At 38.8% G+C, this 18,693-nt stretch overlaps 1 protein-coding gene across 54 annotated transcripts in view; it reads left to right on the forward strand.

Moving 5' to 3' along the window:
• The window catches only part of LIMCH1 (LIM and calponin homology domains 1), a 340,438-nt gene that overhangs the window by 298,017 nt on the left and 23,728 nt on the right, over positions 1 to 18,693 (forward strand). For 36 of the 54 annotated variants that reach the window (XM_005248057.2, XM_017007895.2, XM_047449834.1 and 33 more), the window contains 4 exons: positions 3,797 to 3,887; positions 5,198 to 5,361; positions 8,938 to 9,043; positions 13,931 to 13,971. In XM_005248057.2, coding sequence (XP_005248114.1) covers positions 3,797 to 3,887; positions 5,198 to 5,361; positions 8,938 to 9,043; positions 13,931 to 13,971 — 402 coding nt within the window. Of the gene's footprint in view, positions 1 to 3,796; positions 3,888 to 5,197; positions 5,362 to 8,937; positions 9,044 to 13,094; positions 13,170 to 13,930; positions 13,972 to 18,693 lie in introns of all 54 variants that reach the window. The other 18 variants (NM_001289124.2, XM_011513642.2, XM_011513644.2 and 15 more) reach the window with 2 other exon arrangements.

An 18,693-nucleotide genomic window follows, 5' to 3' on the forward strand; every position in this document is an offset into this window, starting at 1 on the left:
AAATTGCTTGCTTTTTCTCTTACTTTATCTGAATATTTTGCTAGCAGTAGCCAGATTTTGATGACTAGCATACATTTAAACTAAGCCTGAGAGTATACATTCCATAAATAAGTGCATAATATTTATTTACTTAACAAGGATTACGCATGTATCTGGCCGCTAATTCCTCAGAACGTGGACTGAACAGAAATCCCCGAGATGAGCTGATGGCTGGGGGCAGTTGGGTCCCCAGGAGCCCTAGGAAGGGGAGAGATTCCAGGAGAGTTCTAATCTTTTGCAGAATAAATGAGTGGGAGGTAGAGGAAAGAAAGGGAATGGAAAAAGCAGTTTGAATCACTTCAGCAATAAACAAGACTCTTAGGTGATAGATTGCCTCTCATGTATCAAAACCTCTCAATACTGGAGGACAGCTTGGAATTGGTGTGACTCCAAGCCCAGGTGGTGGGACATTGAGGTCACCAGCACAGGCAGGGTTCCCACCTCCCCTGCCTTCTAGCAGTATGACCCTCGGTAAGTCGCTTAACCTCCCGGGCCTCAGTTTCTTCACTTGTATGAAGGGAATCATGTTGGTACCTACCTCCTAAGCTTGCTCTGAGAATTATGTGAGACGATTCTTATGAAAGGCCCAACAGCACTGACACGTGGCAAGTGCAGTAAATATTGATTGCAGTTTCTGCTGTTGCTACTATCAAGTTACCGTATCAAATGTCAGGATGTAACCTTTAAAGCACCTTTTAAGGTAAGTTATCTGGAGTTTAGTATTTGAGTGCTGAGCCATAGAGAAATGTCTTGAGAAATGTGAGAATTCTTGAAAGCAGAAGTTCTCCAGCATACATAAGTGGTAAAACGTTGCTGGAATGTGGTATGCTGGTACAATAAGCCTTAGTGAAGTAGTTAGTGCTTGAGCACCCCATCCCCTTTGCATCACACATTAGGTCTTTAGGTCTAAAGGGCTTCATGAACTATCTTATTTCATTGATTCTAAGTGGCACACTTTTCACATTTTAACATCTCTAAATCAGGATCTGTCTTATAATCAAAAGTGCATCATATTTAACAGATGGCGTGTTTTCTTTCTTAGTAGTACCTAAAGTAATACAACTTAAAATTGATGGCATTTTAGATTTAATAAAATATGTTCATTTCTTTGTTCATTTTTGGTCTGGTGAGGCTTTGGCCCTGTTGTGTAGTTATTTATTTTGTTTATAGTATTTGTAAACACCAGTGTTCTCAAGAGGCTCATTCATCAATATTTAACTGCAAATTTGTTTCCCAGTCTCAGTTTTCTATAATGTAATCCATTTGTGGGGAAGGGGAAGCTAAAAATCAGTATTTCTGCCAGTATTTTCTATATAGATGTCATAAAACAAAAATACCATCATGTATTAATATTTCTACATGTGCAAGACAGCACTTTGAATTATAAAACCCAACTTATTCTTTTGCAATGCTAAACTGGTTGATCTTCAAATCCTACTACCATGTTGGAGGTTCATATAGCAAACAATGTAAACACACACATGTACCATAACCTAAATATAACAAAACAGACCAGTTAACTATTCTCACTCATTTAAGTCTCTTGCAGGGATTCAAGTCAGACTTATTGATATATTAAAATATTACAAAATCCAAGGTGATGCATATTTCCTGCCTAGGGTTTTAAAAGTGTGTTTTAACTTAATATTATGTTCTTCCAGAATTGATACATGACTATCTGTCATTAGAAAATGCCCATCTAATTATGAGGATTTCAAAACTACTCCATCCTCCAAAGAAAAATCACATTTTTGCCACTAGATGCTATTGTAAAACCTTTTAGAAACTTGAAAGTTTTGTTGTTTAAAATTTCTTTGTTTTTAAAGAATTCAGTGATGGTTTCCACCAATGCATTAACTTTAAATACCTTTCATTTTGAGAGGCAAAATTTGATTTATGGATAAAATATATATACTTATGAGAGACGAATAAATTCATAGTTCTCGAGAACCCATGGGGATATTTTATGAGTTAATAATGCCTTTTCTGAAACCAACTTTAGCCTTTATCTTAAAACCTTTTAAAATTTATGCAATATTTCATACACACTTTAAAATTTAACTTTAGCTTTTTACAAGAAACTTCTACCAAAAAATGCAATAGTCATTAACTTGCTCTCTTTAATTATCAAAATATAATCTAGCTAGTATTTAATTTAACATTTTATTTATTTTTACTAAGTAAATATTGTAATAGCAGGATAATTTTGGACTTCATTCTAGAGTCAATTGGCTCCCAGTGAAAGACAATGTAAAATTACATTGATTTTGTTTTCCAATTACAGAAGTAATACATAGTCATTATAGAACATTTTGGAATATATAAAATGTATGTAAAGAGAAGGAAAAGTCACCCAAAACTTAAGCACATTAAAAATAATCACAATTAACATTTTTGTATTTTCTTACTATCTTTTTTTCTATATGTTTATGTATAGGCATGTATATAATCATATACATGTAAACATCAAACTATGTATACAGTTTACATTTCCTATCATTAGTAAGTATTTTCACGTATCATTAACTATTATTCAACATCTTATTTTTTCATGATTATATTGCCTTTATGGACATGCAGTAATTCATTCAATCATTCCCCAATTATTGGATATTTAAGTTGTTTCAATTTTTTTTACTATTGTAAATTCCATCAAGCATAAAACTGACACAATTGAAGTACTACTGAGAGAGAGGAACACAAGCATTAGAGTAATTACTGGAGGTGCCATGGAGATGAACATGACAGTGATGTACCAAGTGGATTGGACAGTGAGGTTCAAATCACAGAGACTTCTTAGTGGAGAACAAGGAAGAAAGGCAAACCTGGAGTCCCAGCCATAGAAACAGAAAGGAAATGATTGATATGAAAACTAGTATGTTAGAAACTTAGAAGGACTTGGCAAATGATGAATATTCATGAGGTATGAGTCAAAGATCACTTGAAAGTTTATGTGATGGGAAGAACTGCTGCCATAAACAGAAATTGTCAAATTTGGAGGAGAAGGCCATTGACCCTAGAGGTGAAACCGAAGCTCTGATGGACTCTCACAGCTGGAGATGAAAATACGAGTTATACACGGAGAATGTAATGGTGAATCCATGGGAATAATTGATATATTTGAGGGTAATTCAGCACAAGTGGAGGAAAACAGGGTCCAGTTGAAATCTTTCAGAATGACCCATATTTTGATGAAAAGGAGTAAGAACCAGTGAGAAAAGAGTAGTCTGAAAGTGGGGAGGAGAGGGAAAAGGAGAGAATGAATTAGAACTCCAGTAATAGAGATTCACTGGGAGCCCAGGAAGGATGAGAACTGCAGGCTAAAATCCACAATGGTAAGGGCCACAGGCAACTATGCCAAGACAGGCCACTGAGAAGTTAATTGTAACCTTTAAAGAACCACAAAAAGACTTCACTGGTGTTATGACCCTAAGCCAGCTTGAAAGGCTTTCAAGAACAAGTAGGTGATAGCCATGATTTTGAGCTTTTGGTGGTGAAAGAAAAGAAAATGTGGGATGTGCGTCCAAGGCAGTCATAGGAGGTTTGGTGAGATGGTGAACCGCATGGGTGTCCTGTTCTCCATAGAATGTCTCCTTCCAACCAATCCAGGCTCTCGCCATGAAGCTGCCTGGGAAGTAGAAGAGGGAATTCATATGGCCAAACCACTTTGTTGACCTAAAAATTACTGCTTAAAAAATAATTTTTAGAACTTTTAAAGGAATCATTTATTCAAGGGGGAAAAAAATCTCTTTTTCAGGCAACCACTGAGAAAACGGAACCGAATAGTCAAGAGGACAAGAATGATGGTGGAAAATCAAGAAAAGGGAATATAGAACTTGCCTCATCAGGTTTGTTTCATAAGAGACTAGTTTTAAGGCAAATCATGGTAACTGTTTAAGATGTAATGGAAATAGTCAAGAATTTTTCCTACTGAGCCACAGGAAAGTAGTAATTAGACTCCAGGAGTGGTGCGGTTGTGCTGCCACCTAGAGGCTTCCTGGGGAAGTTCTGCCCGTATGGTTAATGTTGCTGTGAAAATAGGAGCCCATGCTCTTTCTTAAAGCTACCCAGTTTTATTTTGTTTTTTAAAATATTTATCCCTATAATCATAAAGAATATTGTGTTCTTCCATATAAATCATGCTAAAAATTGAGGGTAGGATTTTGACACACAGTAACAGCAATAGATAAGCGAGAGGTCAAAAACATAAAAATAGACGCTGAAATGGTAAAGCTCACATATAGTTAAAAATGAATAAAATAGTGCCATGAATCTGGACAGTGAGTATAATATACTGTATTCGTTGTTTTAGGAAGAAGACCCTGTTCCCGAAAGTCTTGTTCCTCAATATTTTTTTGCAGCCTTATCAATATGTTTAACACTTTTCTTCTTTTGATAAACAGTAAAACCTCTCACCCTCTTTCAATACCAAATTATTATTTTTTATAAGGCCTTTCTCCAGTGTTTACCACTTGAGAAACATAATTTGTCAATTACCAAATTATTTTTAGGTAACATTTTTAAATAAATTAAATATCACTTAAAATAATAGCATTTACTTTTTCAAACTAGATTGTGCCTTCACATTTTGATATGCCCCCTTAGGTAGTGACTTTTCCACCCCTTCTAAAGTGAACCTAATTCTTCTTTATGTATCAGAGAACACTTTATTTTCATTGCATTATATACATATACCCCACAATCCGTAACACATTCCAATTAAGAAATTCTGATGTTAAAATGGAGCATTGAAATACAAAAAAAGGAAGCATCAGGTTGCTGCTCATTCACTGGGATAGAAACTACCTGTAGATGTTCTCTTATCTAGCCCAGCTGTCATAATTATATATTTCGTGTCAGCATTCTGTTCCATGTGGTGTTATTCAGATGTAAACCGTGACCCTTACTAAAAACTTAAGTTCTTCATAGTGTGGTTATAGGACGTGATTTGTGTTGCTTGTTGTTCAATACCATGAAAGAGCTTTGGGAATTCCAGCATCTTAGGCTCTTTTATATCTCTGAGCACACTGTCATTCAGCTTATATTGCCAGGACGGGATATGGACTGAATGTACTTCATGGCATTGCAGAATAAATGGTCCTATAGATATTTGATTTTCTTTTCCTTCTGTACGTTTCTGGATGTAACTCCATTGCAGAACCACAGCATTTTACAACAACTGTGACTCGATGCAGCCCGACCGTGGCCTTTGTGGAATTTCCCTCCAGCCCCCAGCTGAAGAATGATGTGTCGGAAGAAAAAGACCAGAAGAAACCAGAAAATGAAATGAGTGGAAAGGTGGAGTTGGTGCTGTCACAAAAGGTGAAGTGCAGAGTGGAGGAAAGCGGTTAAACCCACAAGTTAACATGGCCCCATATTACAGCTAGCTGCTGCTGTGGCAGTTGTGAATAATGAAGATTTATTTCTCTCCTCATCTTTTTTCCTATCTTTAATCTGTAGTTTTTCTTTTTCGTGTGTGTGTGTGTGTGTGTGTGTGTGTGTGTGTGTGTGATGGAGTTTTGCTCTTGTTGCCCAGGCTGGAGTGCAGCGGTGTGATCTCTGCTCACCACAACTTCTACCTCCTGGGTTCAAGTGATTCTCCTGCCTTAGGCTCCCGAGTAGCTGGGATTATAGGCGTCTGCCACCACGCCCAGCTAATTTTTATATTTTTAGTAGAGACGGGGTTTCACCATGTTGGCCAGGCTATTCTTTGTGGAAAAGTGTAATATAAGTTCTAAAGCCTTGCAGTTAGGTTTTAGTTTGCTGTGTGTGTTTGCTTATTTGCTTTTTAACCTGTCAGCTTACTGGCTAGTCTCTCTCCAATAATCATCTATTTGTTAGCCATGGTAATTCTGATGCCACTGGATTTGGATAACAAGAAACCTAGAAAATTATTATTCTGATATAATAGGTTTTAAAGTCTTGTTTTTATTAAAGTTTCTTCCTTGTTTAGAGTCTCATCTCATTCACATTAGTTTGATTTGTTTTCAGGTACAGAGTCTAAAAATATTCATCAGTTACACCAGTTGTTCGCAACCTTGATTACTCTTGGGAATTTAAAAAATAACAAGCTAGCTGGGTGTGGTGGCTCACAACTGTAATCCCAGCACTTTGGGAGGCCAGGGCAGGAGGATCACTTGAGCCCAGGAGTTCAAGACTAGCCTGGGCAACCCAGAAAGTCTTCATCTCTAAAAAAAAAAAAAAAAAAAAATAGTAATAATAATAATAGTTAGCCAGGCATGGTGGTGAGTGCCTGTAATTCCAGATACTGTGGAGGCTTAGGTGGGAGGATCACTTAGCCCAAGAGGTCAAGGCTGCTGTGAGCTGTGATTATACCACTGCACTCTAACCTGGGCGACACAGCTAGACCCCATCTCAAAAACAAACAAACAAAACAATCCAAGCCCATTCCAGACCAAATAAATTAGAATCTGTGGAGGCAGAGCCCAGGCATCTGTATTTTTTAAAGCTCCCAGGTAATTTTAATGGGCCACCACTACGGACTTGCACAACTGGAAGACTATCCGTAGTGGTGTACCACCTTTCAGAATGGACCCTCAATTTGGGTATGACCTTAAAGTGAAAAATCTGCCACTTGTAGTTCCAGTTTATTCATCATTTACTCAACCAGTATTGGCTGTGCACCTACTATGTCATGCCTGGCCCTGTGCTAGGTACTGGATAGTCAACAGTGAACATGATGCACTCCCTGGCCTTAGGAGCTGAGAATTCTGTATCCTTGGTAGAGCCTCTAAAATGCCTGTTGCCTTGATGCGTTTTCAATATTTCAGACCCTAGCTATTCTTCATTTTTATAGATAATTAATGGTCTGCAGGTCTGGAAAGGGGAACTAAACTGGGAGTCAAACGTTGGGAGGCAGGCAGAATTTCCCACCTTTGCAGGTTTCGTTTTATCAGCATCACACTAGTTACTATTATTTATTACCCTTCCAAATTTACTTGCTTTTCCCACTTAAATCTAAACTGAAAGGAAAAATCTGTATCATTGCAAGTAAAACATATAACTTGAACAGAATGAATACCCTAAGTAAAAAGCAGTCATTGCGAACCTCATCTGTGGAACCTCATCTTGGAGTTCATCTGTGGATCACCAGAGTCACACCTGCCCTACTATGGAAAAAAGTGTTTTCAGGACTTCTTCAGTTTGTTCGTGTGTGTGTTTTTGTGCATTGTGCCTTTTGGTCATCTGGTAAACATTATTCTCAGAATATTTTTTAAGCGTAAAATAAAATACACAGGATTACCAAGTTATTCTTGGTATCATGTGGTGCCAAATATATATATAGCCCCTGAATACTGTTTTGTTGACTCCAGGATAAGAACCCCTGCCAGCTGATGAGCAAATGGAATCATGGTCTTTGAATCAAACACTTTTCTCACTTAGACTATGTGAATTTCTCCCTTTTCTTCCTTTCTTACTGTACGGCTAGCTCTTAGATAAAGGGCGAATGGTGGCCACTGTGATTGCAACAGCTTTTATTTCCTGATTTCACTTGAGAGTGTTTCCTTTATAAAGCAAAGCACCCATGCTTACAGGCTTACCTTTTTACATAGCGGTCATTTTGATCATTGCTGATGACCCTTAACTGTTTCATTTACAACCAGGCATTACTGAAACATGTTTTTGCCAGCCTCCACTACAAGGAAATGCTATGAGGTTAATGACTGGTGGGTTGTCAGCTTTGGGAAGGCTAGACCTTATCATTTGCTGTGTAGCACCAACGTTCATTTGGACACCTCGTTGACCTCTGTAATGCAGAATGAGGTGATTAGTTTTCTTTAAGATTCTCTTAGAGTTGAATATATTATTCATAAAAATTCCTTCTGAGGATAAATTCTAACATTAATTTATTCTGAGGACCAAATTAGGGATCAGCATATGATGAAACAAGTGCTCTGTGGTCTCACTCGCCCTGAGGTCATTGATCTATAGGGAACACAGCCACCAGCCAAAGAGTGAATCAGAGAAGGTCCTGCGAGCAGCTGAAAAAAACATAAATTTATACAGCCACGCTCCTCATTCAGACCTATGCACAGTGTCAACCAATGCTTATTTTAGACATTTTTGTTTTAATAAGTTTGGTAATCTGGTCTTTCAGCAATCAGCTAATCAGAAGCAACAAACCAGAAGAAGGGTGTTTCTACTAAAGGTCATTCATATTAGGGAGAAACAAAATTAAGTAGCAATAACAAGAAAAATCTGTTTTACAAAGCAAACATAAGAATTTTTAAAGTCTGTAATTTTGGAACTATTTACAAGTAGTAACAAGTAGTCCAACATGCCTCAAAAATTCCCTAAGGGCATCAGATACTAAGGCACTGTTCGACAGTGGTTGTTTATAATAATGTTTCTTTGTCAGCAGGCAAAGTATACTGTCTTTAATGTGCTTTGCATAAATTTGTGGGGGGTTATGTAATGTCTTTAGAATAATATCCATTGAAAAGTAATACTACTTTAATGTTTAGCACTTATGGAGTAAGATTTGTTTTAATTATCTTATGTGGAACATCTAAATCTCCTGACATTACAGATTCAGTTTTGTGTGGTACCATGAAGAGAATTTGTGATTGTTCAATAAGAAAATAAGAGAGTAATGTATAATTCCAAAGATGTAATATTGTCTTCTGGTTTGGAGAAAAGTGGTCATTACGTTTTTACGCTCATGTTTGATTTATCTAAAAAATTGACGCTCTGTTAATGTAGAGAAGGATGAAAGCGTTTTAGGGAAGAAACAAAAAATGAAATGTTTAAATTTAAATGTTAACTGTTTGAACTGAATGACTTCTATAACAGCCATGGATCCTTAAATTGTGTGTCACCTGTGCATTTATCAATGGACAGTTCTTGCAATATTTATACCTGTTTTCCATTGTCCAGGTGGTAAAGCCAAAATCTCCAGAACCCGAAGCAACGCTGACATTTCCATTTCTGGACAAAATGCCTGAAGCCAACCAACTACATTTGCCAAATCTCAATTCTCAAGGTAAAGAGGACATGTTTTATTTTAGGTCTGCATGTTCTGGGCCCATCTGTAGTAAACTATTACTTAATTTAAAGGAAGATTACGTCCTTTATGTTGCTATTCCTTTAGCCAGGGTGTTTGCCAGAGTCTGTGATAGCTGAATTTATGACTTCAGAATGGAAAGCTGGAGCCGGATTCTCTATTTGAGCAGACCAGGAACCCTAGCTGCCAAGGCCATTTGGTCAGCCAGGCACTATAGGCACAATAGAGCCTATACAAGTGTTAGAGCTTTAAAATTTTGTATTATCAAAATTAGCTGGGTGTGGTGGCATGCGCCTTTAGTCCCAGCTACTTGGGAGGCTGAGGCAGGAGAATCGCTTGAACCCAGGAGGCTGAGGTTGCAGTGAGCTGAGATCATGCCACTGCACTCGAGCCTGGTGACAGAGCTGTGACAAAAAAAAAAAATTTGTATTATCTCCAAAATATAAAAAGATAAAAAGTCATAAAATCATAAATTAATGTACTTAATAGAAAGTTTAATATTATGTATATTTCACTGTTAATTCTAGTCTTCATAAATGTCCATTTAATTTGACAGTAATTTTGAGAAAAAGCTTTATTTTTTTTTACTCCACAATAATTCCTGGGTGCATGATGATTATTGAGAAATCATTCACCATCATAGATTAAACAGGTTATAAACAAACATTTTAATCTTTATGTGTGTGTATTACATAAATTACATTCTCATATATATATGAGAAACGTGTGTGTGTGTGTAATACACATACATAATACTAAAGATTTAAAAATGTTTAACACATACATACTGAGGATATATTTTAATATGTTTGATGTATTTTAATGTGTTTGATATAATGTGGGAAGGGGTTGCCTCTAGAAACGTGGGCATTTAGGGCCTATAAGAAGGTCTTAAAATGGCACTGACCACTGAAAATTCCCCAAGTACTGTGTAGACCATATATAGGGTTGTGAATTCACCCCTTTACTCTTTAAGAACCCAATTTGAATCCCTTTATCCTAGTGGGAATCCCAGGTGCCCATGACCACCAGAAAGGGCCCTGAGGGATGTGAACAGTGGAGGATGGGTTCTGAGAATTCCACAACCCAGAGGGACTATGCTTCAAAACAACTAGACCGCTGAGTTTTACTGCTGTGAGATCTCTCTCTAGATGTGGAAATGGGCCAGATGCAGTGGCTCACACCTGTAATCCCAATACTTTGGGAGGCCGAGGCAGGAGGAGCACTTGAGGCCAGCAGTTGAGACCAGCCTGTGCAACATAGCAAGACTTTGTCGCTACCAAAAAAAAAAAAAAATTTTAAATATAAACATTTTTTAAAAAAAGAAACAGCCAGAGTTCAGGAGGCAAGAACTGTAGGGTTTCTTGTTTTTCTTTTTTAACAGACTTTCTCCAGTGTGTTTTGTAGATTTAGCTTATTTTTACTTTTCTTTTTAAGGGTGGGCAGCTATTTGAGCCACTGGCAGAATCTGAGTTGGCTTCCATTAGCTATTATTGATGTTTGGCAGATAAGTTGGGTTTTATCTACATAACAGGGAACTCTTGGCAATAATTAACTGGTACATGTGCTGATGGATACTAGGTTCTTAATGTGGAAACAAGTTTAATACTGTTTTCAAAGCATTTGTCTTAAATTTGTCCGTCCTACTGTCCTGAAGGGAATTAAAAATAAAGTGTCACAACTGGGCCAGCAAATGGCCATATTTGGACCAATTTTAATTCTGCCCTATTTCTAGTACTTTGTAATTGTGTAGATAAGTGGTATAGAGAGGGAATAAATATTTTAAGCCATTTTAAAGCCATGTTTTGTTTTCTTATAAATTTACACATTTCATTACTTATTGTGAGGCATTTTGATTTTGTAAAATGTGCTGCTGAATTGAGAAACTTTACTTCATTCTTTACCCAAGTCGAATGACTAAAAAATAAAATTTAGTAGAGTACTGAAACATTTCAAAATGTATTCTTTAAGATAGAATTGTATTTGGAATACACCAGTTGTATACTTGTATTAGTTTGTTTTCATGCTGTTGATAAAGACATACCTGAGACTGGGTAATTTATAAAGGAAAGAGGCTTCATTGACTCATAGTTCCACATGGCTGAAGAGGCCTCACAGTCATGGTGGAAGATGAAGGAAGAGCAACGGGACATCTTACATGGTGGCCAGCAAAGAGAGAGCTTGTGTAGGGAAACTTCCCTTTATAAAACCATCAGATCTCGTGAGACTTATTCACTATCACAAGAATAGCACAAGAAAGACCCACCCTCATGATTCAGTTACCTCCCACCAGGTCCCTCCCATGACATGTGGGAATCATGGGAGCTTTGATTCAAGATTTGGGAGGGGACATAGCCAAACCGTATGAATACTTTCATCTGGTTCATGGAAACTGTAATTATAGCTGCATGCTCTGGAGACAAAATGCCTGGGTTCAAATTTTCATGTGTCTAGTTCTTAGCTGTGTGACCTTACCCATCAGATTTCCCCTAATCTCTAATCAGCACCTGTAAACTAGAAATAATACCAGTAATAACCTCATAGGGATTTTAGAAATACCAAATGGGAGAATCCATAAAAAGTGTTTAGCTCAATACCTGGCCCAGAATAAGCATTCATAATGTATTCTAGTAATTGTAGAATAGCAGCAGGAGGAGTAAAAGAATAAAGCAAGATGTCAGGCAGAAATAAACTACTCTCGAATCCTTTCTTTAAAATAAGAGTGTTCATGTTGTGGAGATCGGGTTTTTCACTGTGGTTCTCAAACCCTGTGTGCCAGGGTCCCTGTAGGGCTTGGAGCCCACTCTCACAGTGTCTCATTCAGTAGGTCTAGGCTGGGGCCAGAGGATTTGCATTTCTTACAGGTTCCCAGGTGATGCTCATGCTGCACATCTCACCACACTCTGAAAACCACTGGCCTCAAGTATTTATTTAAATTGTGCACCAAAAATATCACTGATTGATATGAAAATAACAGTAATAATTGCTTGACATTTATAAAGTCTCCATCTTTCAAGAAGCCAGAGACCTCTAATAAATGTAACCTTAAAATACATGATTTGTCTTCAATTGGGATGGGGAAATGGGGGAGGCATAGGTCTCTGCCCAGCACCCATTTAAGGGACTGATCTGAAGTCAAGCATCAAGTCCAATGAAACTCTAGGGTTAGGATCAGGTATCCTGGAGCCACACCTAACACTTTCTCCCCCAGAAAGTGGTCTCTCCCCCATTTCTATAAAGTCATCCATTCATAGACTGGTCATACAGGTCACTGAAGATCTGCTGATCGACCCTAATGATGTTCCACACGTTTTCCTTACACACACACACCCAGGCATTCAGTTTTTAAATGCCCTGAAAACAGTCATAAAATACATTTGAAAGTGACAAATTCCCTTTTCTTAGCTGCCTCTCAGCAGCAGAAAGATATCTCAAACTGATGTTTCAGTAAAATATGTGCGCATTAAAAACTGATTTTTTTATTGAAAATGACGACAACAGCAGAGTTTAAGGATACAAATCCTTGCCATGAGCCACCACAGAAAGGCATATACTCAACCTTTATTTATACGTACAAAAAACTTCTGCCACAGACTTCTATACATAACCTTTATGATGTGTAATGTATATGAAATAGTAATTAAACCACCCATCTTTGCTGCCTTTTATACTTTTCTAGTGTTCTCCAAAAAGCAATACAAATTATACATTTTTGTTCTTGCATAGTATATCATTCTATCATTTTGAGATTTAACATTTTAACACTATCACCATTAAGTATGACCCTGTGAAATTTCATCTAACACCAAAGAAGACAATAGCATAAACTGTCCTGGTTCTGTTGATTTTGTACATGTCTTCAGGTTTTATATGTGTGTTATTAAGACATTTTGTACTGTAGATTTACTGACTCTCAATTCTGGTATTGACTAGAGCCAAACTCCCTATAGTACTTGGGAGCATGGTTCTATTCAGTTCTCACCCCAGTTTTCATGGTTTTCTGTTTGTTCTGTTCTGCCATCTGATCTAGAGTCGCCTGGCACTGCCAGTGTTCCGCTTAGAGTTCAGAACTCTTGGCGACGATCCCAGTTTTTCTCCCAGTCAGGTAAACTGCATACTGGGTAGCTGTATTTCTTTTGTGCGAAAATCCATGTTGGGGCGATCAATGATGTGTGGCACTTGTCTTCATTTCTGATTTCTGGGGAAAAAATTATTTCTTATGCACAGTTAGCAAAGAGCTAGTTCTTTTATATTACTACCAGTTATGCTAAAATTGGGGGTAGGAGGAGAGGAATCACACAACTTTATGTTGATTTCAAGAATTCAAAGAAATAATAATATTCATCATTTTCTTGAGAGTCCCCTGCCTTTAAAAAAAAAAAAAAAGATTAAAAGCATTTACCAGAAACTGATCATAGTTCTCTTGTTAACTGTGTCACTGTGTTTGCTTCCTGGGTGACATCTGGCCTCTGTTTGTATGGTACTTCTCCATGCCAGACAGTGAGGGGACTGCTCAGTCAAGCCACAATGCAAGGTGCACTAAGAATCAGTACTAATAGGAACAGTTTTTGCTTCCTGTAGTCTAGTACCTGGTGTTAATTGATGTGATCAATCATTTGATAGTAGTTTAAACTTCTTTTGGTGATGGGTGCAACCTGCTACAGGGGTTGTCTGCTTTATTATGATTTTCTAATGTTCTTGACTTACCAAACACACACACACACACACACACACACACACACACACACACACAAAATTGGTTTAAAGCTGATGTAGGAACTATACTCCACTGATAGGTCAAAAACAAAGACAATTAGAAAATACTCACATTCATATCTTTTTTTTCTTTCTTTTTTTTCTGTGCAGTGGATTCTCCAAGCAGTGAGAAGTCACCTGTTATGACACCTGTAAGTCACTCATTTTAAGGAATAAGATTATGAGTTAGTGTGATTTTAATTTATAACATTTGATTGGCTCAAAGAGTATTCAGGCCGGGTGCAGGCGGTGGCTCACGCCTGTAATCCCAACACTTTGGGAGGGTGAGGCGGGTGGATCACGAGGTCAGGTGTTCAAGATCAGGCTGACTAACATGGTGAAACACTGTCTCTTACTAAAAATACAAAAATTAGGCAGGTGTGGTGGCACCGAGATCGTGTCACTGCACTCCAGTCTGGGTGACAGAGCGAGACTTCGTCTCAAAAAAAAAAAAAAAAAAAAAAAGAGTATTCAACCAAAATTGAGACCCAAACAATTGATTTGTAAAAGAATAATTAAAAGTCATATATAACGCCATTGGGTAAATTATAAAGACATGGATTATCATTATATGGAATTGTTACTGTGCCTGGAAATAAGTGATAAGAAAGCAAAATCTAAGAGGCAATTAAAATGAATGTGACAGACTTGGCATGGTGGCTCACACCTGTAATCCCAGCACTTTGGGAGACCGAGGTAGGTGGATCACTTGAGGTCAGGAGTTCGAGACCAACCTAGCCAACATGGTGAAACCCCGTCTCTACTGAAAACACAAAAATTAGCTGGGTGTGCTGGCGGGCACCTGTAATCCCAGCTACTCAGGGGGCTGAGGCAGGAGAATTGCTTCAACCCAAGAGGAAGAGGTTGCAGTGAGCCAAGATCACACTACTGCACTGCAGCCTGGGTGACAGAGCGAGACTCCATCTCAAAGAAAAGAAAAAAGAATAGAATAGAATAGAAGAATTAGTATTAAAACTGACAATTTCTATAGATACATTTTTTTAAATGTACCTCATTTTTTAATATGAGGATAATACTTGAACATAGTATATTGTTGGCAGATAGGACCTGGCCTGAACTCTCCAAGAGACCCAAACTCTCATTTTTGCACCCCTTCTCATAATGAGTATTTGACCAATAATAACTGTAATGTTGCTTTCTATTTTGTATTTTAATGAAATAAGAAAACATTTGTTAATTAAAATAAGACACAAGGTGCTGTGGACATTCCTTGCTGCTGCATGGCATCTGAACTGGTATTTCTAATCTCAGGCCTTGTTCGCCCTCTGGAATTCCCATTAGATTTGGAGACTTTCTCTGTGGCACAACCAACTGTGGCATTGCCCATGAGCAACCCTGGCTCAGCCACATAATCACTACTGTGCCTTTGATTCTGGATTTAGCTGTGTAGCCCTGAAGGTGTTATATAACTTCTCTGACCCTCATCTTCCTTGACCGTACAGTAAGATGACAGTACTTTTCTTTTGAAGTTGTCATGTGCCTTAATTGAAATAATTATTCAGAAGCCCCTAGCACAGTGGCTGATATGTAAATAAATCCTCCCCCTCTCCCAATAGCTAATCCAAGAGGCCCACCATAGTCAATATCAATTCTTATCTGTAGGTAAATTGTCTCACTTAGGGAGTTCTAAGTGCCTCTGCAGAACAGAGAAGGGATCCATCACTTGTTGCATAACCCTTGATGTCCCCAGCCACAGTACAAAACTAGGGACTATCTGTGGAGGCTCAGTCCCAAGCCAATACTGGGAATCCTGAGTTTCCTGGGAAGCTGAGTTCATTGATGATGGATGGGAACCCCAGAACGATCCCAAAGCTGGCATCCATGGCACAGATCTGAAGATTTCCATTTTAAATTGCATTTGGAACAAAGATGTCAGTTGTTCATGCCCCCTGGGTAGGGGTGGAGAGGAAGGGCATTCCAAAGAAACACATTCGCATTTCTTGTTTAAGGAAAATAGAATAAGAAAGAGACAAATCACTGGCCTACTTAAGTAAATGCTCTGAAAATTTCATGTGCTTTTGATAGTAAATGTCTCATCATAGAACAGAAAATAAAAGAAACTTGAAATAAGTAGCGCTTCAAGAGGAGATAAGCATTAGATTATGCTGGCCTCCGTAGACTCTGGCTATTTTTGGTCAGTCTTGGAGTACCAGAGGCCCTCGGGACTATGAAAGAAAGGGACTCTGATGGTAGGAGATGCATTACCCAGCATGAAGGGATTCCATTCATTTATTCAACAAACATTTGTTGAGGGCCTAAAAATATAAGGTCTTGGGGTAGATAGGAGGATGAGGGGCTCTTCCTGCCTCCTGAAGAATCCCTAGGCCAGAGGAAGATATGGACTTGTAAACAGGTAAATTGTAGGACAAAGTGGGTTAAATGCTGTCCATTCTGACTTCCTCTAGCACCTTTTACATCTCTTATGATAGTTATCACACTGTCTTCTGGTCATATGCATATATTGGTCACTTTTCCACTCCACACACACTCAGGTGTAAGCTCCATGAGGCTGGGCCACTTGGCTAGCTGGTAACCCCGCCCTGGCCCACAGTCAGTGGGCCATAATCTGCAAATTATCTGCAAAAGAAGGAGCAAGATCATTGTTTCATTCTCTCTTGTTTATCATGCTGGTTTCTTCCCCTTTATCCTCCTCTTAAAATACCCACTGCTTTCCTCTGTTGCCTTTTAACACATATTCTGTATTTTCTGTGCTCAATCCCCCCACCCCACACTTCCTCCTCCTATCTGCCCACTCCTTACTTGACTTATTCCTGAGAGCACCGCCTAGTGAAATTTAGAAATTAAATAATTCCTAATTGTTTCTCTTATTTTCCTACTATTGGAGTTTCCTCAGTGTTTTTTGTATGGCTTTATTCACATAAACATCCCCTTTTCCCTCAAAAGACAAAGAGGGGCCATGCCCCTGGAAGAGCTTCTGAATGTTTAAACCACCTCGAAGTTCTGGAACAATGACAGGTGGAGCCAACTTCCAACACCATTAAATTCCGATAGAATTTCCCATCTGGTATAACCACATTTGGATAACATTTATGGTCATCCAAGGGAGTTTGGGAAATTTTAGATTACAGATGCTCTTCAACTTAAGAATGGGGTCACAGCCCAATAAAGACATTGTAAGTTGAAAATACTTTAAGTCAAAACTGCATTTGATATGCCCAACCTACTGAATGAACATTATAGCTCAGCCTAGCCTACCTTAAACGTGCTCAAAACATTATGTTAGCCTGCAATTGGGCAAAATCATCTCACACAAAGCCTATTTTATGATAAAGTGTTGAATATCTCATGAAATTTATTGAATACCATCCTAAAAGTGAAAAATAGAATGGCTGTTTGGGTATTTGAAGTACAGTTTCTACCAACTCCATATTGCTTTTGTACCATTATAAACTTGAGAAAATGTTAAGTTAACCCACCTAAGCTGGGGACCATCTGTATGCACAATTAAATGATTTTCCCCCTGCATAACTTCCAAGAGCCTGTAATATGCTAATGTGCAGTGTGAAACTCAGGAGTGGCAAGCAGGAAGCAATAAGCTAGTATCCCTAGATTATTGGCCCACTTGGGTTTGACTATTCTGTGAGCATCATGGCCATCCCAATCAATTGCAGGAAGCACAGCAGCAAGAGTACAAAATGAGGCCCAAGTTTCATTTGTCCAAATATATTAAAGTTCTAAATATTGATGAAGTTATAAATCAAGCATTGCCCACAGCCTGGCCTGCATTCTCTGCCTGAAGATACTTCCCTGGGCCAGCCCACCCGCCATGCACCTGAATGGTAATGTGGATCTGTTGGGGGCCAGGCAGAGTGGGAGGTGGGCTGGCCCAGGTACCCTGGGCACTAACTGGATGTATCAAAACCTTGGATAGGACTGACCCTGTTCATCTTCCCAGGCTACCAGGGTACATAGATTTTGCCTGCACCCCTCCCCACCCCAACCCTGTTTCCCATCCCCCGTCAACTTCCCCACCCGTGCCTTGCTTTTTCAACTTAAGATTCCCAGGCAGTTGCTTCCCTGTCCTACCCCATCAGAACAAAGGGAAGGGAGGAGCACAGTTATTGTGCCCTGGTCTGCCTGGGCACCTACTCTGGGTGACTGGGGCAGCCGACTTTAAACACAGCAGCCCCTCTTTTCCTGGTTTCCTGGGGGCAGGCTGTGATTTCCCTTCCCCCCACCCCCCACCTGTACCCTCCCAGTCTCATATTCTGTGGCCTGGGCACCTGCTTCGGTTCATGGATTTTTCTCTGTTATTCCTCATTATTTACTTGGTTCCCAAACTTGCAAAAACCTTTTATTAATACAAAAAGGAAGTAAGTCTTTGAGCTTGAGTGTTTGTGTCATGCGGGCCCCAGGGCAAGTGATCTGCTTGCCTGGATCTTAGGTGGTACTGGTGAGCATTGGTGAGTTAAACAACCCACTGTAGGGAAAAGTGGTATGGAAAAGCAACAGTAGTATAAAAGATTAGTTTTTATAGCGTGGCAAACAACACTTCTTACAAAATGCATTTCTGCTAAAATAACTGGTCTCGTTTGCTTGGACCCAGGATCAATATGCAGAATGAGCACCTTAGGTTCAGAAGCATGAATGCATTTAAGAGAAATCACTTCTAAGAGAAATGAAGCAAAGCCTTCCAATGCCAGTGGCTAATTACTTTGTGTTTTCATTAGCTCCAAAAAGATTCACAGAATCATACCAGCGTCTTGGAAGTAAACCAAAGAGGGACTAAGATTAAAAAATGGTTTCTGCCACCAAAGAGGATGTTTAGATATATGAAGCCTTCTGCTCCTGTGTGTCAATCTGGGTGCCAGGCCAGAGGCCAATTGTCTACT

This window comes from Homo sapiens, chromosome 4 (genome assembly GCF_000001405.40).
Source record: "Homo sapiens chromosome 4, GRCh38.p14 Primary Assembly".
In the NCBI taxonomy this organism is placed as follows: domain Eukaryota; kingdom Metazoa; phylum Chordata; class Mammalia; order Primates; family Hominidae; genus Homo; species Homo sapiens.